The 27,461-nt window shown below is 44.8% G+C and overlaps 1 protein-coding gene across 14 annotated transcripts in view, besides 7 other annotated features; it reads left to right on the forward strand.

Moving 5' to 3' along the window:
• Nucleotides 1-27,461, forward strand: part of CACNA1E (calcium voltage-gated channel subunit alpha1 E) — a 490,386-nt gene that overhangs the window by 151,026 nt on the left and 311,899 nt on the right. For 11 of the 14 annotated variants that reach the window (XM_017002244.2, XM_017002243.2, XM_017002249.2 and 8 more), the window contains exon 3: nucleotides 15,020-15,286. In XM_017002244.2, the coding sequence (XP_016857733.1) occupies nucleotides 15,020-15,286 (267 nt within the window). Of the gene's footprint in view, nucleotides 1-14,792; nucleotides 15,287-27,461 lie in introns of those variants that run through there. The other 3 variants (NM_001205293.3, NM_000721.4, NM_001205294.2) reach the window with 1 other exon arrangement.
• Nucleotides 12,984-13,516: an enhancer, noted in NCBI's record as "H3K4me1 hESC enhancer chr1:181450844-181451376 (GRCh37/hg19 assembly coordinates)". NCBI's record gives its function as "activates a minimal SCP1, AML or CMV promoter by ChIP-STARR-seq in naive H9 embryonic stem cells {active_cell/tissue: H9 hESC(naive)}" and the evidence as "EXISTENCE:reporter gene assay evidence [ECO:0000049][PMID:30033119]".
• Nucleotides 13,568-13,697: an enhancer, noted in NCBI's record as "active region_2189". NCBI's record gives its function as "activates an Ori minimal core promoter by ATAC-STARR-seq in GM12878 lymphoblastoid cells {active_cell/tissue: GM12878}" and the evidence as "EXISTENCE:reporter gene assay evidence [ECO:0000049][PMID:35858748]".
• Nucleotides 13,848-13,977: a silencer, noted in NCBI's record as "silent region_1612". NCBI's record gives its function as "represses an Ori minimal core promoter by ATAC-STARR-seq in GM12878 lymphoblastoid cells {active_cell/tissue: GM12878}" and the evidence as "EXISTENCE:reporter gene assay evidence [ECO:0000049][PMID:35858748]".
• Nucleotides 14,018-14,147: a silencer, noted in NCBI's record as "silent region_1613". NCBI's record gives its function as "represses an Ori minimal core promoter by ATAC-STARR-seq in GM12878 lymphoblastoid cells {active_cell/tissue: GM12878}" and the evidence as "EXISTENCE:reporter gene assay evidence [ECO:0000049][PMID:35858748]".
• Nucleotides 14,500-15,024: an enhancer, noted in NCBI's record as "H3K4me1 hESC enhancer chr1:181452360-181452884 (GRCh37/hg19 assembly coordinates)". NCBI's record gives its function as "activates a minimal SCP1, AML or CMV promoter by ChIP-STARR-seq in primed H9 embryonic stem cells {active_cell/tissue: H9 hESC(primed)}" and the evidence as "EXISTENCE:reporter gene assay evidence [ECO:0000049][PMID:30033119]".
• Nucleotides 15,025-15,548: an enhancer, noted in NCBI's record as "H3K4me1 hESC enhancer chr1:181452885-181453408 (GRCh37/hg19 assembly coordinates)". NCBI's record gives its function as "activates a minimal SCP1, AML or CMV promoter by ChIP-STARR-seq in primed H9 embryonic stem cells {active_cell/tissue: H9 hESC(primed)}" and the evidence as "EXISTENCE:reporter gene assay evidence [ECO:0000049][PMID:30033119]".
• Nucleotides 16,511-16,640: an enhancer, noted in NCBI's record as "active region_2190". NCBI's record gives its function as "activates an Ori minimal core promoter by ATAC-STARR-seq in GM12878 lymphoblastoid cells {active_cell/tissue: GM12878}" and the evidence as "EXISTENCE:reporter gene assay evidence [ECO:0000049][PMID:35858748]".

The raw sequence follows: 27,461 nt of genomic DNA on the forward strand, positions 1-27,461 counted from the left end.
GGTAGCATATGGGCTGGGCTTTTAAGTCTAAATAATTTTTTGGCAGGTGGCTATGGAAGAAGGGGTAAGGAAGGGAGAAAGAAAATGAGAAATGATATGGAGGAGGTCAATTACAAGGTGTTCTCAGGGAAGGGTTAACAGTCCTGCTTCATTGGAGCAGTAGTAGGAGATATTGCTAGGAGCATAATGGCAGGTAATAAGGACTTAGACTGGATGACATTTAAGTTTTCTTTCAACCCTAAGATGATAAGATCTTATGATTGGATAGTTATATTTGATAGGCACTAGAAAACTCATTCATTCATTCAACAACAACAAAAAATTTATTAAAATTTTTTTTTTAACCAGATACTGTTCTAGGCATTGGGGATACAACATTGTACAAGCGCTTCAATTTTATTGCACTGAAAGGTGAGATAGGGTCAGAGTTGAGCTGTGCAATGAATTTTTGTGGTAGAACCTGGAAGAGGAAGATGGATGAGGAGACTCTGCCCATCTCCTGAATGGAAGGTAATACTGACTCGAGGGGTGGTGGTGCAAATGGCAAGGACAGGAAGACTGTGACTGTGGCATAGAGAGAAAAATGACAGGGCTTGGGGAATGCTTGTTGTGGGAGTTGGAGTCAAGGATGCAGCCAAAGTTTTGTGCCCGAGTTAGGGGGAGACTGCAATGCTGCAAACAGCATTAGAGACCTAGGAGGGAGCTGGTTTGTAGAGAAAGAGGATGAGTTTGCTTTTAAACAAACTGATTCATGGTGCTGTCAGGTCATCCAGGTGGAGGTGCCCATTTGAGCCATGGTGAATATAGTACCAGACAACAACAAAAACAAAAACCAACAAAAAACAGAGCCGAAGATAAAGGTTTGGAAGTCTTCTGGATATTAGCTTTATTTGAAGCCATCCATATGGATGAGATCACTGAGAGAGTGCATACATAGTGAAGAAGGCAGACACCGGGATCTGAGGAATGTTCACATTTAGGAGGCAGGAGAAGGAAAGGTGAAGAAGATGAAGGAGCAGTTAGGGAGGTAGAAGGAGGAGTTTGGAAATGCTCCTGAGGGAGGCAGGAAGAGGAAAGCCAATTCATGCTGAGTCCCAATATATAAGAATGTGTGCACACCCTAATAGCCTCCAGGGAAACAGACTTTGGGGTGAAAAAATTCCCTGGAACATATTTAGCTGTAAAAGTGTTGAGCCACCTTATCATGTTATCACTTCTTAGTGCTTCAGCCAGAGGGTGAGGAGGGAGGGGGAGTGGAGGAGGCTTTCCAGTGAGTCATCCCTCCTGCATGTTAGGAGTTTTGGTTAAAAGATTTACAGAGAGAGAGAGTGAGAGAGAGAGAGTGAGAGAGAGAGAGCGTGAGAGAAAGAAAGAGAGCAAGAAAGCGAGAGAGAGAGCACGAGAGCACACAAGTGAGCGTGAGCGAGCTGCTTGATTTATTTTAATTTTTTTTAGAGATGGAGTCTCTAAAATATTTTTTTTTTTATAGATAGGATCTCTGTCACCCAGGTTGGAGTGTAGTGCTGTGATCACAGCTCACTGCAGCCTTGAACTCCTGGGTTCAAGCATTCCTCCCATCTCAGCCTCTTGAGTAGCTGGGATTATAGGCATGTGCCAAAACACTTGGCTAATTTATTTTTATTTTTATTTCTTGTAGAGGCAGATTCTCTATGTTCTCTATGTTCTCTATTCTCTCTATGTTGCCCAGGCTGATCTCAAACTCCTGGCTTTGGGTGATCCTCCCATCTCGGCTTCCCAAAGTGCTGGGATTACAGGCGTGAACTGCCACATCTGGCCTTGATTTATTTTCTAATAGGTTCCTAGGGCACTGTGGCAACAATGCCTTTTCCCCTGAGAGGTATATAACCAAGGAGAGGACATTTGGGGACCTTCTATGATTGATTTTTGTCTGTGCCATCTTGTTCCCCATAGCCTTGATGGCCAAGTGGCTATGTGGGGATCTGTAGTTCACACAAAGCCTACAGTTCCCAGGTAAAGGGACTTTTTATCTTTTCACCTTTGGCCATGGCTTGGAGGAAGCTTTGGGCCTACTGCTTGGCTCTTATCAAGTCCTGAGTGACCCCCTGCTCTTCTACGCTAGGCCCTTGAAACTCTCCTCAACTAGTCTTAAGTTCCAGGCTACAATTTCTCCTTCAGCTTGTCTCTTGCAATAAGGTTGTCTTGGTCTGTTTTTGCTCCTATAACAAAATACTCTAGAACGGGTAATTTATAAACAGCATAAACTTATTTCTCACAGTTACGGAGCCTGGGAAGTCAAAGATCAAAGTGCTGGCAGGTTAAATGTCTGTCGAGGACACGGTCTCTGCTTTCTTGAATGCTGCTTCCTCCAGAGTAGCTGATGGCAGTATCCTCACATGGCAGACAGCTGATGGACAAAAAGGGCCTAGCTACTTCTCTCCAGCCCTTTTATAAAACACTAATCCCATCCATAAGATTAGCCCTGATGGCTTAATCATGTCCTAAAGACTTTACCTCTTAATACTTCTGCATTGGGGATTAAGTTTTAACATGAAATTTGAAGGTGATGCAAACATTCAAACCATAGCAAAGGGCAGTAGTAAGATGTAGTCTCTGGCATTTGGCAGGCCCAGGCTCCAAGTGTAGTTCTGTGTGATCTTAGTGTAGGAACTTAGTTTCTCTGATCTTTATTCGCCTTATTTGGGAAATGGTTGAAGCTAACCATACCTATGTTGTAGGATTCTTGTGCAGATCAACGAGGCAACACATATATAGTGCTTCAGCCTTCCACAGATGTTGGTTACTGTTGCTGCTTTGAAGAGTTTCTTTGATTTTTTTTTTAACTTAATACTCTTTTGGTTGAGTTGCTTTCAGAATTTCTTTCCCTTTTCTCCCAATGTTTTTCAATTAAGAAAAAAATGTAATTAATTTGAAGAAAATTATAACCTAACACCTCTTAGCCAACTTCTGTGCGGCTCTTGGGGAAATAAAGGGCCGTGAATGCTTTGATTATAGTGATATAATTCCCTTTTGGAAATAAGTTTGTTTTTTTACATCATCTATAATGCCTGGTGTCTGTCCCTGCAAATATAACAATAATACCACCCACAGTGGTGTGACACTCTGTGTTTACAAAGAATTTTCATACATATCAACAATCTCAGTATCATTCTGTAAACTGGGTCTTTCACCCTCAGTGAAAGTAATCCCTTTTCTGATATCACCACCTCATAAAGGTATCTGCACCCTCATGTTCATTGCAGCATTATTTACAATAACTAGGATATGGAAAAAACAAAATGTTCATCGATGGATGAATGGATAAAGAAAATGTGGTGTATGTAGACACACACACACAATGGATTTTTATTCTGCTGTAAAAAAGAAGTAGATCCTGCCATTTGCCCCAACATGGATGGACCTGGAGGACATTATGCTAAGTGAAATACACACAGCATGATCTCACATATGTAGAATGAAAAAGGGAATGAAACAGTGGTTAGCACCAGTGGGTGGGGGGTGGGGACTGGAGGAGGAAGTAGGGAGACGTAGGTCAAAGGATACAAAGTAGGTATGTAGGATGAATGAGTCTAGAGATCTAATGTGGGGCATGTGGAATAAAATTAATAAAATTGTATTGTATTAGAGACTTGTGTTAAATAAGTAGATATCAGCTGCTCTTGTTACAAAAAAAGTAACTATGTGAGATAATGGATGTTAATCTTCTTCACTGTAGTAACCATCTTACTATCTATATGTATCCGATAACATCCTGTTGTAAATCTCAAATGTACACAATAAAATTTATTTTTTAAAAAAGGAAGTTGTCTTTTGACATCACCTATAATGCCTGGTATCTGTACCTGTAAATATAATAGTAATACCACCTACAGTGGCATGACACCGAGTTTACAAAGCATTTTAATACACATCTCTACCATCTCAACATCATTCTGTGAGCTGGGTCTTTCAGCCCCAGTGAGCTGGTGACTGTCTTCAGGTTTTAGATGCACGCGTGCGTGTGTGTGCGCGCGCACTTGAGGTATTGCTTCTTTTAACACAAAAAGCTGAAGTTTCAAAGCAGGTGGGGTGTGGGTTAAACACCGTTCTAAATGGCAGGCCTGCTGTTCATGGGGAGGGAGAGTGGCCTGAAAGTTTAAAAATAACCTGAACATTATAGACTCCTGTGAATTCTACAGCCCAGAGCACTGTGAGTCTGTGGGTGTTTTACCTGCTGGAGTGCAGGCAGGAAAACTAGTTGAGATGCAGGAGGATTTAAATTCGCTGAGTCCTTTAGTGGCATGGGCTGGCAGCAGAAGTATTTGTGAAAAAAAATTAAAGCCAGAACTAATGATCAGGATCGATGTTCCTGAATGGTAGGAACAGTGCTACCCTTTGATTTGCTGAACACCGCATAGTATTTGTATCGCCGGTGCAGCAGACCCTTGTTTTCTATGACTGAACAACTATCCTTCCCCCTTGCTCCCTGAACTCCCTTACTGACCTCTCCAGAGTTTGGCTGATACCTTTTGCAGATAGCTAACTGAGGCTGGCCTACCAGGGAGCTCAGGGTTGGGACATTTTGGATAGACTTAGCCATTCATTGAAAAACAAGTAAATGGTGTAAAACCATGCTAATTATGCATAAATTATGGGCAATAGCATACCCTTTGAATTTTGAGAGTTTTGAAGGGTTGAAATAATTTTTGAATTAGCACTCAGTTCTTGATCTGACTCCTGTTGCTCTGGGATATTGCAATGCAAAATGACAGCAGCAGTAGGAGGAGCAGGTTGGGCTACGAATGTATCATCACATTTGGTTTATCAGTAGCCCCATGCGATTCAGAGGGCAGGTACTACTTTTGCCATTTTTGCATGTAAGGATATAAACCCAACCAGGACTGAGGTGCAAGCCTCCTGGTGTTGTTTCCACCCTGATAACTCATTTATTCTGAGGCCCTTCGGCACCATCTGTAGAGTCTGGATATATTCTTGCCTCTTGGAACTGTAGAATCATCATGAAATCTCTATTCTCTAGCTCAAATTTCTATTAATGATATCAGCGAGATGAATTAAAGTGGCTAAGATAATGGGTTTTGAAGTCAGGGTGACCTAGGATTGATCTTTTGCTATGTCACCCACCACCTATGTGACCATCAGGGAAGTTACTTAGTTCCTTTCAGTCTTGCTTCTCTTCCTGTAAAATGGGGTTTATAATAGCACTTGCCACATGGGCTTATTTTGAGAAATAAGGAAAGTGAATCTGGTTAGCATGGAGCCTTGCACATTGTAAGTATTTAATACCTAGGACAAATAATATTATAAACAGCATCACCTATACTTTTCTTTGTAATTATTCTTTATTTGTTTGATCCATGTCCATTTTTCTTTTTTTTACAGCTCCAGAATTTGCAATATGAAAATAGAGATTATTTAAACAAAGGAAAGTAGCATAACTGGAAACTTTGAATTATTCTATTAATACTTGACTACATATGGAAGAATATTATTGAAAAATATGATCCAGTGATGGGGTGGTTTTGTGAAAAAATACAAGCCTTTAAAGGAAAAAGCTAAATCTTGAGTGCATGTATATGTGTGTGTCCAAGGAGTTGGCTTGTCAGTGGTGTTAGGAGGATTTCAGAAATTCTCTCTTGATTGAGAATTACATTTCCACCTTTCCAATTTGTAAACTGCACATTAGGAATATTCAGAAACCTGCAAAAGAGCCTGTAATTCTTCACATTTGAATGTACTGTATTAAGCCTGTCTGAAAACTTCCCGTAGCATGGGAAGATAACCTGCATGTTTGTACACTTGGCTGGCAGAACGTGAGATCACATCAGAATCTAGTGCATGTCTTTGCAAACGTGTGTGTCATTTTCATATGTAATTCTTCATAAGAGAAATAGGCATGATGACATTTGCCTTTTTGTAAAGAAGAGATAGAACGAATTAATACTGTAGTTGATATGGGTTTTTTTTGAAGCAGGACTTTATTATCTTATGTTTAATTTTCTGTGGAAAGGGATCTCAAAATATTCTTTAGGTGGGGAGCTGTTTCCTTTTAATAACTGATTCCCCAGATCTTATTTCAACTCCGTTTCTAAGAGCAAGAAATATTCCTCATAAGACAATGAACCCTATTGTTTAATGATTGATAAGATGGTGCTTGGGCAGTTAGTGTGCTGGAGAAGTTACCCCTGAGTTAGAGGCACTTAATTTCCTACAAGGGAAGTAAATACCCCTTTTTGATATATATTTATTCCTGTTTATATCATCTGGGTTGATGTCCACTCAACTCACAAGAAACAGCTGGGAACACCTGGCAGCAGAGAGAGGCTTCTAGTCAGAGCTAGAATGTGTTAGGGGAAGGGTAGCTCCTCAGACAGGGCCCAGATACCTGATTGATGCCCAAGCTCTTTTTCACCAATAACAGTTGCAGGAGATCCATGCATTCAGTGACAATTTATTTTGCAAAGGCTTGCTATGAGGATAACATAATGCAGGCACTCTAGGTAAAAGAACAAAGAGAAAGATATGTCCTCTACTCCTGAGAAGCTTACACCATAGTTGAGGAGACAAGGCATACATAATTGAAAAACTAAATATGAATATAATGGCAAAGTTACAGTTATGACAATATCAGTGATAAAACAGTACTATGAACGATACAGAAATTCTGTGAGTTTATAGGAGGTACAGGTCAGTGTTGGAGAGATTATGAAAGGCTTTGTGGGAGAGCAGATTTGAACTGGACCATGCATAGAAGGATGCCTAGGAGTGGGAGAAGCAGAAAAGAGGAAGAATATTTTTGGGGCAGTGTGAAGCAGGCGCTGTGAGCAGGGCTTTGAGGCAGGAATGGGCATGACACGTTTGTTTATGTACCTCATACTATGGTACGTGAGGAGATAGTGTTGGAAAGATAGGTTGAATTCTGATTGCCTTGAATTGTCAGGCTAAGGTGTCTGGCCATTTTATAGGCAGTGGGGAGCCACCGAAGTGATGACAATGTAACATGCATAGCAACTGGCATTTTGGGAGGGGGAGCTTGCTTTGAAGGATTTACAATGACGTCACTTTTACACATATTGAGTCTGGGGATGAGGGACAATCCATATGCAGCTACCCCTAACTTCATTGGACACCTGGGTCTGGAAATGAGGCGAAAGGTGAGGTCTAGGAGCTAGATGTGGTGTGGAGGGGGTAGTTGAAATGGCAGGTAAGGATATAATCTTGAAGGGAGAGAAGTCAGACAGAGGAAAGGGGTTGGGGACAGACCCATGGGTGCCCTACAGGTGAGAGCAGTAAGAGGAAGAGAAGGAAACGGTGAGAAACTGGGAGATGTGGTGGCTGGGATGCCAAGAACGATGACCTCTGAGGAGAGGGGGAGGTCAGTGGTGTCAAATGCTGCAGAGTGGTCAAGTAGGAGGGTAAAAAAAGGGACCATCAGGGGTTCAGTGGTAGTCTTAGAGCAATTTCTGTGGAGTGGAAGGGGCAGAGCTAGTAAATGGCCTGCCCAGGTATATATTTCAAAACTGGCCTTAAGTCCATATCATATGGGAATGCCTTCTTCCCTTTGATTATTTTATACTAGGTGGGTGTAACCAGCTGCTCAGTGTAGGAGAGAGTGGGAGAGAGAGGGTGTGGTGATGGACAGGTGGTGGCTTAATCTGCTGATGATTCCAACACAAAGGGTTCTTGGAGAGGCAGGATTGGTGGGTGCAGTGGAATCTTATTCTCTTTCTCTGGGCCTTCAGGGCCCCTTTAGGCTTGACTGCAGCTGTGAGCTGCATTTTCTGTTACTGCGGCATTATCTTCAAGAGTGAAATGTAGGGAGTGGATCAAGACCAGGCAAGACACGAATCCAACCTGGGCACCTTCTCCTAGGCACTGCCTCCTTTGGGCTAGCCCCTGACATGATACCTGACACGTGGAAGGTGCTCACTGCATGTCTGCTAAATGAACCAATCGGCCTGAGCCCACCCGGGCTGAACGAGCTTTGCAAGGTGTGGGCTGTGTTGTGTTTTCTGAGTCAAGAGGCCGTGGGGGTGGATGGATGGATGTGCTCCTGCCGGTTGTTCTCACCCTCTGCTCACCCCCATCAGTGGGAGCTGGGGCGCTGCTGAGTCCTCCTGCTGCACTTTGCCTTGGCTGAGCAGCAAGGTTGGGCCCTGAGGGTGGGAAGGGAGGTAGACAGTGATGGGCATGGGATCCTTTGCTGTCTGGGGCTAAACTCCGAACCTCCAAATCAACTTTCCCAATAAAGCTTAATATCTATTAGGGTAAGCATATTTTTGGCTTTTCTCTGGGCTGAAAGGTGACCTCATCTTATGGGAAAGAAAGGCTTGAAGTGGTAATGCTATAATCTTCGTGATCCTAGATACATTGAAAGAAAATAAAAATGCTGATTTACTAATTAACTCCATGCATCTTGTGTACTGCCCCCCTCCCCACCCCCCAAAACATCCTAAACATTCATGCTGCAGGCTGCTGCTCCATGCCTCCAATAAACTAGCTCTTCAAAGAGATCTCTTTTGTATTCTTCCCTTTTCCAGCTGCCTCCAGTGGGAGGGGATGGCTCCCTGCTCTGTTGTCTCCCAGTACTCTCCTGTGGTGCACTCCACATCCCGCCTTGTATTCGAGCCCTTTGTGGGTATGTTTTCCCTTCTCCTCTTTTGAACTGTAAGTTTTTAGAGGCTATGACTGTGTCTAATTTATCTCTGAGCCCCAGAATCCCTGAGAACAATGTGTGGCTCATCAAAGGGGATTAATGAGTATTTGTTAAATGGGTTTATGAATTCATGAATAAGTAAACAAACACACAGCTCTCTCAGGTATCATGGCCTTTGGGTCTCCAGACACTGGTCTCTACTATTTTTTTTTCCTTTTTTCCTCCATTCCTCTTTCTGACCTGATCTCAGGCACTTACATGTCTCTGCTCCTCTGTCCATCCCCCGCACAACAGAGTGTGTTCATCCCTGGCTGCACTTCTGAAGTTGGCTTTCAGAAACAGAGTCTGTAGACATGCAGTGTTTCCAGTGTGTTACCGTGGTCACAGCTACTGAAGGTGAAATGTACATAACAAGTACTTACGTAGCACATACTTATTGTGTGCAAGGTACTGATCTAAGAGCTTTATGCATATAAACTAACTTAATTTTCACAACAGCCCAGTGGAGCAGAATGGTATTATTCTTAACAATTAAACCCTCTGGGAGACTCTCTGGTTCAAGGTCATGCCTTACCTCTCTAAAGCTCAAGATCCTGCCTATAACTTGACTCTTAAGCAAGGAAAATATTATTTTGACATGCAGTATGTTAATAATGGTCACATATTGTGAAGAATCCTGTCCTTATTATTAGGAGATCCAGCTCTGCTATTTCCTAGCTCTGTGCACTTGGACAAGTCCCTGACTCTCTGGGTGTTCAGATAACAGGATGTGCCTCACAGTCCTTCTGCAAAGATGCAATGAGAAAACATTACGGTTGGCACCCAGGAAGTGATGGGTTGTCATAAATGAATGGTTTTTAAAACACTTTAAAACCAACTTTGCTGACCTGTGGTTAGCTGATAGCATGTTGGAGTGTGGGGCTTCTCAGGCTTAGGTTTGAGAGATGCTGATTCTAGGGACGGACATTACATAAGGATGTGAAGTTATGTTTTCACCCAAGTAAGGGCTGTGAGGTATTGTGAAAGCCACCAGACTCCCAAGATGTCTGCATTGCCATAATGCTCCTCTGCTCCACTATGCATTTGCACATGGTCTCCTGCCAACTTTTTTCTTAAGAACCCACTCCCAAATCCTCTCTGCATTATGTTCCTTAGAGCACTGCTTTGCATAAGAGTCTATTTCTTGGAAAAGCTCAACGGAGGAAAAATAGAACAAAAGGGGCTCTGATAACTTAAGCATAAGCTATCTGAGTGTAACTGGCAGGGTGGGGGAAGATGAAGGAGCAGGCCTGGTGGGAGGGGCACAGGCCATTTGGATGAAGCCCACATTCACAGACTTCTCAGTGATGGGTGAAAAATCTCTTATGAAGATGGCCCAAGGCCTGACAGATCTGGGAAGAGCTTAAGAATGAGGGTAATAGGCCAACTGCTTCTCCAACTTTGCCACTCATGTCCATCTGTCTTAGTACAAACTCCCACAGGCTGCCTGATCTGGGGCAGTGTGGACACCTTGTTTTCTGCCTTTTCCAGAAGAGGCTGGAGGGACTACCTACCAGTCCCCTTCACACCTGATTGCAGCTCGATGATACACTGCAGTAGAGGGGCTGCAGGATAAATGCTTTGAAATGTAATAGTCTTCATGGGCTTTATAAAGTAGGAAAGTTTTCCACTTGCTTCCTTAGCTCCTGTTGGGTTTCCACTTTGCAGGTCATTGCTTTCAGAAAAACATGTGGAGCATTTGGTAACCCCATCTTAACTTGGGAGGGTGTGTGTGGGGCTGCACTTTCCAACTACTGTGAGATGGGCTGGCTGCATTGTGGTGAAATTTAGTACCTCAACAAAGTCCCATAGGGGAGTAGAGGGCTGTTGACAAGAGGTCAGAGCCTAGGAATATCTAAGCTCTGAGGCATGGTGCATGGGGTGCTGGGCTGCCAAGCACTCGTGCTCAGTGACCAGTAGATGGTGCTCTGACAACAGGAAAATACAGTTACTGTCCCTCTGAGACTGGAAAGGGATTTTCAGATGGTCTTCAGACTGGTTTCCAATCAGAGTTATGACTAATTGCTAATTTTCCACATTTCCATTTGTGGATCCTTAATAGGACAGTGGAACTCGGGGCACTGGAAGGAGAATGCCCACCAAATTCCCATATGAAGAAATTCCCATATGAAGTCATGCAATACCGCATGACTACAGTATTCTGGTCATGAACTTTTTCTGAGGATCCTCCTGGATATTGAGGGCATGGTGCCAGGAACACTTGGCCTCTGATCAAATTCAATTTGAGGATGGTAAGCATAGCATTTCCATAGGCTTAGTGTCATTGTATAGTTTCTTCTCTTGATAAACAATTTAGAATTACCCTATTGCTGTCCTGAAGGGCAGCATGGGTTTTAGAAAGAGCCGCAGATTGGAAGTCAGATGTGTTAGAAGTCCACACTCTGCCGCTTATCAGATGTGGGCAAACGGCTTAACGTTGCTGAAACTCTGCTGCTTTGTCTGTCAAGGGTCGTGATACATGTGTTACCAGGCTCACCTCAGAAGTTTGGAGTCAGGCTCAGCTGTGGGGCTTATGTAAACTGAAAACTATTAAACACATGTATTATTCAACCATTAAAATTGTAGCCACTGGCGGGGCGCAATGGCTCATGCTAGCACTTTGGGAGGCTGAGGCAGGTGGATTGCTTGAGCCTAGGAGTTGCCAGCTAGGACAACATAGTGAGACCGTCGTCTCTATAAAAAAAAATAAAAACAACAACTGTAGCTGCCTTGGGGGCTGGTAGAATGGGGGATTAGAGAGTATGAAACCAGTATAGAAATTCATAGATCTCAAAGCTCTCAAGAGCTATGACAGCCAGGTGGGGGTGGAAGATGAGAGTCTGTCTTCCTGCTAGCACTGCTGCCCTTAGGCCAAGTCTCTTCACAAAGCCATTTATGCCATTATGTTTGCCCCTTTCCTTTTTGGCTGCACCCTCCAAGAATTATCCCTTTTAACTCACATAGGTGCTGAAACTCCCTAAGGTATTCCACATTAATTCCCAACCTATGCATTTATGATTCCTGTCTCCTTGGAAGGCAAGAAGGCAGATATCAACTCCAGTGTGTCGTCGCATTTGCACATGTAGTATCCCATCTTGAGTATTCTAGGTCTCTGAAGAATTACAACAGCCAAAGAGAATACAGGACGTGGAATACTGGATCTCTGCTGACATCTGATAACACTGAAGAGACAAGTCGGGGATCTCTGATGTTCCAAGAACTAAGTCTGGGAAGTAAAAGGCTAGTGAGCCCTGCTTATTCTGGGCATTGAGAAGGTATGCCGCCAGCCTGCTGAGGCAGAACCACAAAGGAAAGGGGTGAGGTGACAGCATGAGAGTGAAGTTCATGAAGCTTTCTGGCCTGCAAGGTTATACAATCTAGTATAATCTAGTGTAAAAAGCTACATGATTTATGTCATCACCCATCTTGTTCATTATAGTATCCTCAGTGCCTAAAACAGTGCCTGGCACCTGGAAGGGACTCAAAGATACTTCTCTAATGATTTGAATGAATTTTGTGCTATGGATTATGGTACTGTCTGAAAGGAGCGACATACACTTAATAATTTCTGAAAGCCCTTTTTCTAACCCTATGTAGTTTACAGGGATACCGAGATAGCCACTTGGGACTAGTTCTAAGTGACTGGCTGATGGGACTTCATGGTTCACAGCACCACCCTCCCTCCGTTTCACGACTGACTAGGTATTCAGACAGAAGAGGACCCTCTGATTAAAGCAGGAGGAAGGACAGAGTAAGGCAGTAATGTGAAATCAAAGTAACAATTACAGCTGACTCACCTTGAATAGTAATTTCACCTGAAATGGGCTCCCCTGAATCCAAAGGTCAAATGCCTTCCCCAAGGGCAGCAGGCTGGACATGTTGAGACCATTCCTTTGGATTTCCAGTAGAGAATTTTCCTACACACACACACACACACACACACACACACACACACTCTCACATACATTCTCACACAACAGACACATGTCAGTGCTCACAGGGCCTTGCCCACAGACAGACACATACCCGTAGAAACACACATGCCATGCACTCAGACATCACCTCACTTCTCAACAGTTAATCTCACTTCACAGGCGTGAAGCCATACTCACCCATGGTTTCCAACCTCTGGGCTTTGGTCAGTGTCTGTTTCCTTCCTCAGCCCCTCCTTTCCTTCTTCCCTTCCATTGTTCGGGTTGGAAGGATTTGGAGAGGCCTATGTGTTGAGCCAAGGCAGGAAAACACAGAAGACGGTGTGCCCCAGCTAGTGTGGACATGGGAGGGGACAGCTGGTCCCTGCCCTCAGTTCAAACCACCAGTCACCTGTGGGGAAGGGCTTGGCGGCTAAACAGGAGCTCTTTCCCTGGGGCTTGGAGTCCACCTTTCCCACCTCTGCAGCTCAGATACCAATTCTATTTTTTTTTTTTTCTACATTAATGGGTTGGGTTTGAGAAAGTCCGTGGAGCTTATTTGGGAGTAAAGGATGGGGGGCGGGAGGATCCTTCTGATTGTTCGCATTTCGAGAAGGGTAGTTTTAGCCCATAACTCACCATGGAGGGCCCTTCCAGGAGACGTCGGGCAGGGCTTTCCTACAGCGGAACCGGGAGGCCGCCCCGTGAGGGCAGAAGCTCCCGCCAGGAGCCAGCACCACCAGCAGAGTGTGGAACCCCCAGAGGTCCTAGCCTCCTCCACGGGGCCTCCCAGGTGCTAAGTGGGGAGATGGGGAGAGGGTTCTGCCCTCTACTTGGAAATGCCTGGCCGTGTTCGTGGAGCCTGGGAGGTGCGGAGGAGCGGCGACGCGGCCATGGCGCTAGGCGCGCAAAGGCCCCGACACCTTACTAGGGCGGCGGCGGGCCCGTGGCACCGCTCCCGGCACCGAACAGGGCACAGCACTGGGGACACCTCTCTGCAGGGACCCAAGACGCGCGTGCGTGTGCGCCCCACGCCAGGCCCTCGCTCTCTTGCGGAGACTCCGCCGCATCGCTGGCTGCACCTGCCTCTCTCTTCTCGGCATTACTTGGGGGAAAGGGGACTCTTCACTGGACCTTTGCAGAGGTGGCTGCTACCCTTTGGCCACATAAATCAAGAAGGCAAGCCAGCCTCACCTTCCAGGAACCTCCAGCCTTCCGGCTGCGTCCCCGCCCCTCCCGCCTGGCCAGCTCCTCCCCCGCTTCTCCCAGCGCTCTTGCGCGCCTCGCTGCGCCTCTGCGCGCCGCTCGCTGTCCTCTGCCTCGCCTCCCCATTCTCCTTCCGCATCTTCTCCAGTGCTCCGCCGAGGGCGCTGCCTGCGGGGAAGAGGGAGACTGAGCCGTTAGTGAGGAAGTTCGGTCTGTGGACAAGTGTGGTGCCAGGCCGCCGCGAGGCTCGGCTGCAACCTGTTCCTCGCCCGCCGGTGCTCGCCGCCCGCCCGCTCGCACTCCCGCCCTCTCGGCGGCGCAGCCGCGGATCGCTGTTGCATGCTGATCCGGGGAGGCGGCGGTGGCGAGCGCTCCGGGCGGATGCTGGCACTCAGGCTTCGCTGCTCTCTGGATGCTGCTCAACTTCTAGCCCAAGCGCAGGAGCTTTGAAGTCATTTGTCCCTTTTCGCTTGGATCGACTTCTTATTTTGAGATTTTGGGCATTGCGGTTTACGCAGGAACCTCAATATCGCTCTCCCCACCTCCCTCCCTCTTTCTCCAACCTTTGGATGCGTCTCTGCTGGCAGATATAAAGACCCAAGTCTTCGCGGTGGAATTTCTTAGATGGACTTGCAGGGGCTGGCGTTATAAAGCATGTCATCGTAACCCCGTCCTCGTCTTTGTTTATTTTTTTTTAAAGTTCTTTTGTTTTCATTTTCCCCTCCTTCCCACCCCTTCCCCCAACCAATAAATCACCAAACTGTTACCTAGCGGGCCGGTGCCTGCCTCTCTCCCTGAACTAGGTGGTGCGTCTGCCAGAAGAGGAGCTATGTTTGAAGAGCAGCCTACTCCACCCCTCTCCTCTCTGGTCCCTGAACACCACCACACACTGGCATTTTGAAAAAAATATTTTCCTCCAGAAACTGGGCACCCCCAAGCCCTACCACCCGCTTTTTTTTTCTTTTTTCTTTTTTTTTTTTTTCCTTCTTGAGGAATGGAGCTTCGCAGAGGTTGCATTTAGATTCAACAGTTCACAGCGGCGGGCTGCTGCTGCTGCCTCTCCGAAGAGCTCGCGGAGCTCCCCAGAGGCGGTGGTCCCCGTGCTTGTCTGGATGCGGCTCTGAGTCTCCGTGTGTCTTTCTGCTTGTTGCTGTGTGCGGGTGTTCGGCCGCGATCACCTTTGTGTGTCTTCTGTCTGTTTAAACCTCAGGATGGCTCGCTTCGGGGAGGCGGTGGTCGCCAGGCCAGGGTCCGGCGATGGAGACTCGGACCAGAGCAGGAACCGGCAAGGAACCCCCGTGCCGGCCTCGGGGCAGGCGGCCGCCTACAAGCAGACGAAAGCACAGAGGGCGCGGACTATGGCTTTGTACAACCCCATTCCCGTCCGGCAGAACTGTTTCACCGTCAACAGATCCCTGTTCATCTTCGGAGAAGATAACATTGTCAGGAAATATGCCAAGAAGCTCATCGATTGGCCATATCCTTTCTTGCCCACCATAACTCCCTCTCCCCCTTTGCATTTCTTCGGGTGAAGGGGGGTACCTAGCATGGAATGTATCCCCCACCCCTTCCTGGTGCCAATTTGCCCCTTTGCTGAAGCACACTCTTCGGTGCATCTAAGGGGCAAGCTTGGTGCCGTGGAGACCCGTTTGGGCACTAGTGTTTTTCAAGGTAAGACTTTTGGTTTTTTATTTTTCCTATGTGGAAATCTTTAGTGTCCCTGGGTGCATCCCTTTCTGGGCTGGGCTTTGTCTGATTCCCAGCCCCCTCCCCACCCCTACTCCCTTCACATGCCGCCCTCTACATAGATTGGGTTGCCCCAATGCTTCCTTTCATAATTAATTCTCATTTTCCTTTCTTTAAGCCAGCCACTCTGCCCGTATCCCCACCAACCAGGAGACACCGCACTGTCTTCCTGTAGGGAAGTCAAGGCTCCATGAGGGGATTTATCAGTTCAGAAGTTCCCAGGGCCAAAACCCTGTGTACAGATAGACAAATGAATAAATAAAACAGGCTTTTGGGTGGGGACTCAGCTAACTCTAGGGACTTAAGTTTAAGTTCCACTGAAAGTGGCATGAGTGAGTGTCTGTCAGGGGAGGTGATCTCTGTTGCCACAGCCCAAGGAGCTCAAACTTGGAGTTCTCCTCTCAGCCAAGAAAGAGCAGCTCATCAGGCCCATCCTGTCCTTGGTCCTTGGTTGGGTACTCTTGCTTCTTAGTGCTTGACCCAGCTGATTGCTCTCCCAGTATCCAGGATCCAGGTGGATCGGCTGGGCCTGAATTCATCCGCTGAGGCCAGAGGTGTGCATGCAGTCTCTCTCTCCCTAGCTCCAAAGGAACTGCTCTCCCCAAAGCACTGGTGGGGGCCATCTCTGATGGTGGTGGTGTCAGGGTGAACAGGCATGGAAGGAGCTTCTTTGCAGGTTTAATCAAGTGCACCAAATGCAGACTGCTGATTAGGCAGCTCACTGCCTTGTTCTTCACTAAGGATTGGACGCCTGGCAAGGCCATTGGGAATTGGGGGTGGTGAGGCAGTGAAGGGGATTAGTAGGAGGCAAGCTAGTGGTCTGGCGTTAAATATGGGGATGGGGTTGGAGACATGGGACTTTGGGAGGGAGATTTGGGAGGGATGCATCTGCAATGGAGGCCCCTTCTTTTCTCCCCTATTCTCCCTCTTTCCCACCCCCACCGTCCAGGTGTGCAGCAGTGAGGCAGCTGGAGCTGCCTTGGGTCTCTAGTATTAGCCAGACACGCGGCTCATTTCCCCCAGGGCCTGGGCATCTCCCTACTCCCCCAACCCCAGTCTCTGGCCTTCCCCTTCTTCTCTAGTTCCCTGCCTCAGCAGCTCGGTGATTGGCTGGCGCGTGGTGCTTCTAGGCAGCACCCCCTCATTAGAAACGAAGGAGCATCTCTAAGCAGATATTCTTCCTGCTGCTGTTCGCATCCTCCCACAGCAACCCCGGCTGGGCTTCTCCCTCTCTCCTCTCTGCATCCCGCTCCCCTGCTCCACTCTCACAGAGTGATCCCAGGCCATCCATTGCCTGAGTTGAACGTATCTAGCTAGGGTGGAGGTTTCGGGCGGGGGAGGGGTCGGGTCCCTGCAGTCACGCCTGCCGGTGCGCTGCACAAAGCGGACAGATCTCATTGTGTTGTGTGCTGCGGCTGCAAATATTCCTCTAGGCAGTCTACGGATTTCCCAGCTGGGCCCTCCTTTCTCACTCGGCTTCTACGGTTCTCTAAATCTTCCCATCCACCAGGTGCTGCCTTGCTGTGCCCCTCTCTTAGGGGCGTGTTTATTCAGACAGGCGCCCTCCCGTTTCTTTGCGGTAGACAAAGCCGCCCAACCGCCCCGCGGGTGGCAAAGTGTGCCAGCAGCCATCGTTGGCACCTCGGACAGCGCCGCTGAAACTCCCGGCGGCCCGGGGCTCCCCAGTTACCCGGGTTCAGCACCTCGGGTACTTCTGGCCGGGCCCAGCCTTGGAGCTGAGAAACCAGGCACGTTTCCTACACCACGTGGTCACCTTTTTTCACGTTTTCTCTTCCGCTGCAAAGACACCGCCTTTCCACCAGGCGTTGCGAGCGCGCAAGGTGCGGCTGTGAGTCTTACTCCTCCCTTTCCTTGTCTTTGGCCAAAAATGGACCAAAGAGAGTCAAACGGGAGACTCTCGAGGGAGTTGATTTCAGCATCATGCTCAGTGCCTTGGCCCCGAGCCCTGTCCCAATGGTCTCTTTTGTCTGCATAGTTGGAAATTTCACAGTGGTTCTACAGCATGTAGGCTGTGGTAACAGTGTTCAGGGAACATCTGCTAAGGTGTTTAGTGGAGCCCTGTTGGAAAATATAAAATACACCATGTACAATGTAATTGACTAATATATTCCCTCTGGTGGTGACCACGTGGAAACATTGGGCTTCCGTGGGAAACGCACCTAAATTCCTAGTCTCACCTTCCTTTCCTTTCTAAACAAATAACTTCCCAAGTATCTTGCTTTGTCTTATTGGGAGTCAGTCTGGGTAGTGGTTGCCCATAAAGCTTTGGAGCTAGGCTGCCTGGGTTGAAATCCTAGTTCCTTCACCAGCTTTCTGACCTTGAAAATTACTTCATTACTCTGTGACTCAGTCTTCTTACCTGTTAAATGAGGATAATAATAATAATACTGGGAGAATTAAATGACTTAATATATATCACATGCCTAAAACATTATCTAATTACCCAGTAATCACTAGTTGTTATTATTAATGGCATCTTTCAGAAATTTCAGCGTGCCTGAAGTGGGGAGGGGTCTTAGTTCAGGTGAAGTCCTCTAGATTCTTGCCTCTCAAAGAGAGCAAGGAGCTGCATCCACATCACCTGGGAGCTTGCTAAAAATTCAGAATCCTGGGCCCCACTTCAATCCTGCTGAATCAGAATCTGCATTGTAATGAGATCCCTGTGTGATTAATATGCTCATTAAAGTTTAGGAAGTACTTCTTTGCTCTTTGTAAGTGCCAGATTTTTTTTTTTTTTTTTAAGAAAGGAAGGTTGTTCAGTTGTTCAGAAAACATGTCAAGACCTGCTTTCATATTGACATTTGCACATTTAGCATGCTTGAGGATTTTGTTTGTGTTACAACACGTTTTGAGACTTACACTTTCATTGGCTGCAGAAAGTCACTGTAGGACGAGGGGGATAATGTACACTTCTATGTGCCGCATTAGTGGTCTCATCATGCTGTGCATTACTGGTCTTTAATCATGTTTGTCTGAAAAGATTGGTTAAGTAAAAGGAATGGTTTAATTTATGCTTCTAGGATCACCCCGACTTGGAGGGGGAGGGTAATCTTATCCAGTTATTAATAGGGGAGGTCTAGTTCTTATGGGAAGAAATGCTCAAGATAACCCAGATTTGGCATGAAAGATGGTGGCAAGTCAACAGCCTACTCTGAATGTGTTTCATTTTTCTTGGAAGCTACATCTGCATAGGGAGATAATTTTATTTTCTTATGGCACTTTCCTCTGCAGTGGATACCATACTCTTTTTAAAAATGCTAATGTGATTTAAAATGTGATGTTACATTCTATACGATTCCTCGTTTTCATTTTCTTTTTTGCTCATCTAATAGATCTTCTCTGGCAGTTGGCTGTTCTGAGTGCCCTCCCATGTTCACCGTGCCTCATGCTTACCAGCTCTCACTGTTTCATGCCCAGGGCCAGTTACCCTGTGGGCCATACAGCATCTCTCATGTGGTTTGCAGGATGCCCCACACTTGTTTGAACTTTTCCAGGTCACGGGTGTGAAGGCAAGAAGTAGTGTGTCTGGCTTGGAGACTCTATGCCAGAGTTGGGCAATAGGATATTCCCCCCACACCTCCATCGCCTTGGTTGTCTCAGCAGGGGAGAACATGCTTCGTGTGGAAATGAATATGGCTTACAGTAGGAAGGTCAAATATGTTTGCAGCCCTGAGATAATGAAGCTCATCACAATGAACCTGTGGACATTAATCCATGATTTCTTATTGTAGAGAATTTCACTGTATCCCCAAAGCACTCTGGCTATGGATCAGAGGTTGTATGCTTTACTACTGTGAATCTCCCATTGTAAAATGTCCGTTTATTTTGGAGGATTTTGGTGAGGGTTACCAAAAGTTTTAGTTCTTAAATCTCCCATTTTGGTGTCTTCTTTTCTTCTGCTTTTGTTGCCTATAAATGTATAGCACATTGCAGGATAGTAGACTGAGGTCCCGGTAAGAATTTCAGGTTTGATGTAACTAGTGAATCATGAGTCAAGATGCCTTGATTAGGGAAGATGATGGCAGCTAACAAGGATGAAGTCTGTAATTATATCCTATGATCAGATAATGCAGAGGGGTTCATATCTTCTGTGTACCTGTGCGTGGATGCAGATGGTGAAACAGATAGTGACTGCAGCTGGTACTGGAGCTGTAGGAGAAAGTTCTTCATTTTCTGAGCATCCCAGGACAATCTCTGAATTGCCTGTTGGCTTTGCTTTTGATATGAAGTGTGGGTAATGTTTCATGTGGAAACCAGGCCATGACTTGTTGTGGGGACCATTTATAATTGGGATGAAGCCTGAAAAATGAGTTGGAGTGAAGGAATTTGACAGAAATGAAATGACTTGAGGATAGAGACAAAAATATCCTCAATGTGATAGTTTTGTCTGTTGGTTTGCATGTCATTATTTCTCCACTTCCCTCCACTTGCTTTTTCTGCAATAGGCGCAGTGCATGCTATGAATTAAAGGAGGAAGAGGAAAGTAATGAGAACAGGCCTGCTTTTTTTTTCTTCTGAAACATCCAGACTCTGAAATTATTAGCTCCATCCAAAATTACTTATCTCTTTATAGCACTGCTGTACAAAATGTAGGTGTTTTTCCCCCTCAAATTCTGCTGCTTTCCCCCTTCTTTATAGGAACATCTGGTTTCTTTCAATCTTCATATTCTTAGTGAAAATAAAACTGAGTGAAGCTTTGCTAAGCTCTCAGAACTCTTGCAAACCCTTGACTCCATGTGTTTGATGAGCAGGTCAGCCACCTCCCTTACGTCATGCACAGGGCTGCCTGGAAAGCTACAGCTCACCAAACACCAAAGCCCAGATGTGCAATCCAGTCCATCAATGGTGACTCTGCTGATCTTATTTTGCTTATCACTGACCACAAAGACATAAAAGAGGAAACCTAAATGCAACTCTAATTAATATCCATTTATTCAGAGAGAGAGAGAGACCAGGTCTTTACTTTCTCTTTCTGCCCGTCTTTTCATCTTTCTATATTTCTCCCTCTCTCATTTTTAGGTTCAGCCTTTGTGAATAATTCATTATATGTGTGGGTTTTTCCTAGGATTTTCAGAAAAGGAAGGTTATTTGTCTTCCTCTTGGGTAGGATTATTAAGGTCTCTCACAGAGGACCAACTTCAGGAATCTACTTTTTCTCTAAGACCTTTGTTTTCTGCAGTGGGACTGTCACACAACAGAAAGGAAGCTGGGGAGAAATCTTGTAACCTGCTTTTTCTTGTCATTTTTATGATGACTGCCTCCTACCCAGCCCTGTTACATTTGAGTGCCCCCAAAATATGCAACTACTAGCCTTTTCTACTCAGAGACTGTGGTTAAGTGGAAGGTACGTGTCACTCTGAATCCTCTCATCATCTTGGGTTTTCACACTGATAAATGCTGAACGACTAGGCTAAGGAACAGTCCTCTGTAACCATTTCTTTTCAAATTCCAGTGTGAATTTTTACAGGAATTACAGGGAGCAGGGGTAGTTATGGGGACCAGGCATGGAAATTAGTGTCTAACACTCCGCCACCACTACCACCACCACGATGTGGCTTCTAAAGCAGTCCCTTCCACAGAGGGATAGAAACATGAGGGGCTTGGATCAATGTTACTTTTCCCAAGCCTTCTAAACATGCACAGAGAGGATGCACGTGTGGGTTCACCCATCAGTCATGTTTCCAGCATCAATCTTAATTAAGGACAGAAGGTATAGCACAAAGTTTTTAGACTCCCCCAACCTCGTGGTTTCTTAGTGTTAAGGTTATTGCAGAGAGATGTTTATGGTGTATCTTTGCTCACTGAGCACCCCAAATATGTTTCCTTATAAAGCTTGACGAGCCCCAGTGTCCTCATCTCTGGAAAGCAGGGAGCAGCTAGAAGATGTGTTCTTATAAGGTGAAGATGGGCCAGATTAAGGGGAACAGCAATGAATGACTTTAAAATGTGTCGGTTATCCAAGAGATCCTCCCTGCCACCTCCCAGAGCAGTGGGTACTTCTTAGGAGCTTCCTTTATTGTATCTTGAGCTCCAAATTTGTAGGACTAGATAGTTCCACCCTTAATCCTCTTACTTATTAAAAAAAAAAAAAGGAGCCTCAAATAGACCCATTTGTAAAGCAGTAGTTAATCCCAGAAGCAGGTGGGTGGGGCTTGGGAATGCTATGCCCAGCTAGGCTCCAGCCACGCTCCAGCCACGTGAGGCTTCAGAGAGAGGCCCTGCCTGGCACCTGTGCCAAGCATGTTTTTTTTTTTTTTTTTTGCCTGTGGGTGGTTGATTTGAATCACTGTTGCAACTCTGCATAATCTTGAGGCTATATTTTTGTGTGTGTGCTGCATTTTGTCTTTTGCTGCATTTTTGCTGCATTTGGGCTGCATCGGTTCTCTTCATCTCTGGAGAATTTGGAAAGCCTCCTTCAGATATATGCCTGAGCTTTCCAAAGACTTGTGTCATTAAAGGGGGGTGTCATCTTTCTTCCCTTTGGGGGAGGGATTAAAAAGGATGTAGCTGGATGGTAGGTAGCAGGCTAGAGGGGAAAGGAAGAAGTGCTCTGGTGTAGATCATGGGTGGAGCCTTGATGATACTCAGTCTATTATGGCATCATTGCTGAGATGCAGGACATCGTGCGTGGCCTTCTGGATCCAGAGCGGAGGCTCTGAAAACCAGCACTAGGAGGAAAATTAATACTCTCGAGCCTTTCTCAGCCTTCAGCTTTGCTGTAGGTTGGAAGTTTTTCAAACTTTCTGTGCCTCTTTCTCAATTTCCACACCATTGTCTCATGGGACTGGTCAGAGCCAAAAAGCATGAAATGGATTTTCAACAGTCACTCACTAACGTCCTGGCAATTTCCAGCTGTGTTCTCCTGGGAACTGTTTTGCTGCTTTTCTATCAGCGACCATTCCTTTCAGCAGATGATTTCCATCAACATCAAGGCTAATTCCTCATTTAGTTCCTTTGTGTTGATGTCAGACATAGGCGGTCTGCCCGTTTCATCTACACTACTGGCTGTCAACCTGTGTCTCAGAATCACCTGGAGGGCTTGTTAAAATACAGATTACTACCCCCCACTCCCAGAGTTTCTGGTTCAGTAGGTCTGAAGTAGGGCTGGAGAATTTTTGTTGGTCACAATTTCCCAGGTGATATTCATGCTGCTGGTCTTGGACATCATGCTTTGAGAACCATTGCTGTACATGGTTTTGTTATCTGCCTGGCAATGCCTTTCTAGAAGGCCAGTCTTACAAATTGCTGATGCATTTCCTCATCCCAAATCTCTCTCATTTACCAGCTAAAGCCCTGCTGCTAACAAAAGCTTATGCTTTGGGTTTGGATAGTGAGGAGGCTTTGAGACTTCTCTAACAAAATGCTGATGACCTTGAGACCAGGGACATATTAAGCAAAATATATGTCATTATCAACTTTGAGTTAGTTTATCTTGTTCTTTCAGGACTTATCACTGAGAGCAGGCTCTTCTGAGAAGGGACATGCACCCATTTAATTCCAGCACCTAGCACATGCTGGCACATGGTGAGCATTCAGTAAACTTTTGTTGGATGATTTATACCCAAATTGGCTACTATTGAGTTAACAAGCATCAACAAAGTGCCTCATATTGCCCTGACCAGGACCTGTAAGACCAGGTGTAGCCCCAGGGAGGGGACAGGAGGTTGCCAGGAGGTGGTGTGAGGGCAGTGGATGGCTGGGAGGGGAGTGAAGGATCATCACATGGGAATTGGGAGGCTGTAAAAGACAAGATTTAGCTACTTCATAATTTTCCTCAGGATTCTTTCAGTTTCTGTATTACTTGATGCAGGCTTTCTCACGGAAAACAAAACAAAACAAAACAAAACAAAAACCAGGGTATTTGTTATCTGGCATTTTGTTACATGGAACTCTTTATTAATTGGCATATAGTATAATGACAATTGAGATTTGTAATGGTGACCCCCTAGGTACCACAGAATGTTGGAGTGCTTTCTGAAGAGCATTCATTGTATTATATTCAACACAGTTCCAATGGTGTGTGCACTTCATTGTATTTTGAGCTTTGTGTGATTTATAATTCATATTGATTATATAAGTAGCTCATTACCACTTTTTTTGTTCAATTAACCAAAGTGTTCTTCTCCAGCTGTACCAGATGACAGAGGAATTGGTATGTTGTTCTAGAAATCAGACCTTTTAGTTCTAGAAATATTATAGGAGCTGGAGGTGAATCCTGGTGCAATTGTCATGTATCAGGTGATATTTAGAACAAAGTCATTATTTCAAAAATGGACTAATAGCTCAGCAGGCTTTAGATTTACTGGGCAAGTTCCCCAGCTGGTAAGCTGGTATCACATCTAACTGGGTGTGTTTGTTTCTGTAGGCTAACACTGAAAATGAACCACCAAGATTTCCAAGAGAGCTTTCAATAAGCATCTCAGCAAGAGGTTGTCAGATGATACCTTCCCCAACCTGACTCTGAGTTATCCAACTTTTATGCCTTGGGCTTATTTTCCTGCTCTTTTTTACTCCCACTTCCCTCCTTCCTGAAGGTCAGGAGATGTTGAGCTCTAAAATGATTCTGTTGTAGGGTGATGGTCTTTAGGTTCTTCAGGGTCAGTTTGAAACTCTATGGAACTTCAGAGTATGACCTGAATAAATGTCTGAGTAGTGACCTGAGTAAGTGTCTAGATGACCTCAGTAAGTGTCTAGATGGCATCTAGATGACTCTTTTTGGAGTGTTGGGACCATTAAGTCCCTCTAGTACAGTGTTTGTTCATTTGCTTTCTATACTGGGATCACAAATCCTACTGACATCTGGTTGATGCTATAGACCTGTCTCTCCTGAAAAATACACATACAATTTTGCATTCAATTTTAGAGGTCTATGAATCACAATTTAAAAACATCTATCATGTTAAAAAATTCCCACAATTTGGGATGTTGGGATGCTGGGCTATCAGGAGTAGTGATTCTCAACCAAATATCAAAGCCTTTATGAGCAAGTACGACAGGAACTTTATATGAAGGAACTAGAGAGATACGGTTGCACTGGGCTGTCAGCCAGGCTGCTATGAAAGAACACAAACATTCTAACCAAAGGGCATGAATTCAATACAGAAACTCTTTCTACATCACTGTGAAAGACGACTGTCAAGCTGGAATACCTCCAGTGACAGGGTGCTCTTCTGTTGTTAAAAAACTTAAGATATAGGAAGTGGAAATATTCCTCCTTATAGCTTCCATTTGTTCTTTCCCTTCCTGTTTTCTGTTTTGTAAAACAATATAGACTCAGTCTACTTCCTTTCACTTGACAATACTATGGCATTGAACAGCACAGTTGGTGGATTTTTGGTGATGATAGACATGGCTCTTGGCACATGTGGCCCTTAAGGACTTGATATGTGGCTAATGCGACTGAGAACTAAATTTTAAATTTTACTGACTTAATTTTAGTTAAGTTTAAATAGCCACATATGGCTAGTGGCTACTGTACAGGATGGCACAAGCAGAGGGAATACATGATGAGTCAGAAAGCTTAAGCTCCCCTTTGGTTCTGTCATTTGTTAGCCTTGTAACTGGGCAGGGTCTCCTTGGCTTGGTATGCAGGGCTTCTCATGAGCCACTCTGCACATTGCGCCAGCTTTCCTTGACCACTGTAATCACTGTCTCTCCAGCTGCTTCAGTGGCTGCTGATCCCTGAAGGCACCATCCTCTTCCAGGCCTCCGTGCCTTTGCACTTGCTGCTTTTCCACCTAGAATGAGTCTGGCTTTAAGATTGTACTCAGAGGTCACTTCCTCTGTGAAGCCTTCCTTGATTTCTCTTGGCCGAATAAGACCAGCTTCCTCCTTTGGGCTCTCATAGGGCACTTTATTTATTACTTTGTTGTATCACATACCACATAATTTTAGTATTGGTTTAAAATCCCTGCAAGGGAGGGGGGACGTTATCTAATTACCAGATAATAAGGCAATGCTTATTAACATCAGCATTTAACACATTAGTTTGAATTAAAATACTTTTTAAAGTGGTGTTTTTTTTTTTTTTTAAAGAAGTGGCATTCCGTTTCTGACTTGAGATAGTCAGCTAAAATCTCTGAATCTTTTTTTTTATATGAATTGATGACAGAGTTAGTTTTCTCTCACTCTGTTCTCATTCAGTTTAATTTTTGAATCTAGATTCAGGACTCTATGTTTATATCAAGTATATTTTATCTCCTTGCTTTTGCTCCAATGTTTATCCTGCAGAGATCCTTTTCAACTGAGAACAAAGAACTAACATTCATTGAGCATCTACCAAATTTCAGGCTCTACTTCAAACAAGTGTATTATCCACATTTTAAATATGGGGAAGCTGAAGCTAAAGAAGATTAAATCACTTGCCCAAGGTCACCACCGGTGAGCTTGAACAAGTGGTCCGAATCCAAAGTTTAAGTGATTTCTACACCGCACTGTCTATGGACTTTGCTGTTTCATGAGTGAGCTCCCCACCCTAAGTGCTATGTCATCTGCAGATTTATAAGCAAATACTTAATGCTTTCATTTGAGTAATTGATAAAAAATATATTTAGAATCAGGGACCCTCTTTCTGCTTATCATCAGTGTATTAGTCAGTGTGCGTTGACCGTTCAGCTTTTCTCAAGTATTCTGAACTGTGCTTTAGCCTACTGACATTTCTGTATTTTGTCTGTAAAAATATTGTACGCGATATTCTTGTCACATGCTTTACTGAAATCAGTACACACTTTCATGACTACTTCATGTCTATTTTAAGCAGGAGGTAGCATCTTGGTTTCTCCAAAGTCCACTTTAGGTATCATTTTCAGAGACTCAGACAATATTTTATTTCTTTCTTAGACAATAAAAGTGTTGTGTCCTAGATCTCAGGAGTTGAAGGGATATTAGATGTCATCTAGTCCAATGCCCAGTTGATGAAAGCTTCACCTTAGAGTTCAGGATTTACCAGTCTCTGCATGGAAGCTTTAGGGTATTAGGGGGTCGTTGTTAAAAATGACCTCTGGATTCAAATCTCAGTATCACCTCTGTCACTTTATAGCTGTGTGCCTCAGGCAACCTGCTTACCCTTGCAGTGCCTTGGATTTTTCAAATGTAAAACAGAGATAGTAATTTGCTTCTGGGGTGTATCATAGGATTTTTGTGAAGGTCAGATGAGATAATACATGCAAAGTGCTTGGAACAATGTTTGGCAAATAGTAAGCTGTGAATAAATCTTGGTTATTAGTATATGGTTAATTTCAGATACATAAACATTAAACTTCTGCAGCTATGTTTTCTCTTTCCAACAATGCTGTCCTACTTCCTCCTGGCTCTTACCAAGTTTCTAACCTGAGTGCTGCCAGATAATGTTTACGTGACCTTGCATTGGTTTCATCACCTCCCTGAGCCTCAGTGTCTTCAGATGTGAGGTGGAGGTCACTTTCCCTGCTTTGCCTGCCTTATAAGACTGTTGTGAGGTTAGCATTGGCTAATGTGTATGAAAGCCCTTTGCAAACATATTAGGTATTAGTATTAGTGTTAATGTTGATAGAATTTATAAATATATAACACTTATTGAACATTTACTATGTGTCAGAATACTGTGCTAAGTGCTGCCCATGAGTTATTGCATTGATTCTTCATGACAATCCTACAGAGATAGGCATTCTTGTTTTCTGTCTTTCATAGTTAGAAGGATTAAGGTGTGGAGAGGTTAACTCATTTCCCTGAGATCGCACAGTAAGAGCTGGAGGCCTGGATCAGAACTCGTGCTCTTAATCACTGAAGCTAAATAGTCTTTCCATAAGACTTTTTTTCTTCCTTCTCAAAGTTATTGGGTTTACACTTTTAAAAATAAAATTTAAAATATCTACATCAAAACCTGTTTCCTTTATATGTTTCTAATG

This window comes from Homo sapiens, chromosome 1, assembly GCF_000001405.40.
Source record: "Homo sapiens chromosome 1, GRCh38.p14 Primary Assembly".
NCBI classification, from domain to species: domain Eukaryota; kingdom Metazoa; phylum Chordata; class Mammalia; order Primates; family Hominidae; genus Homo; species Homo sapiens.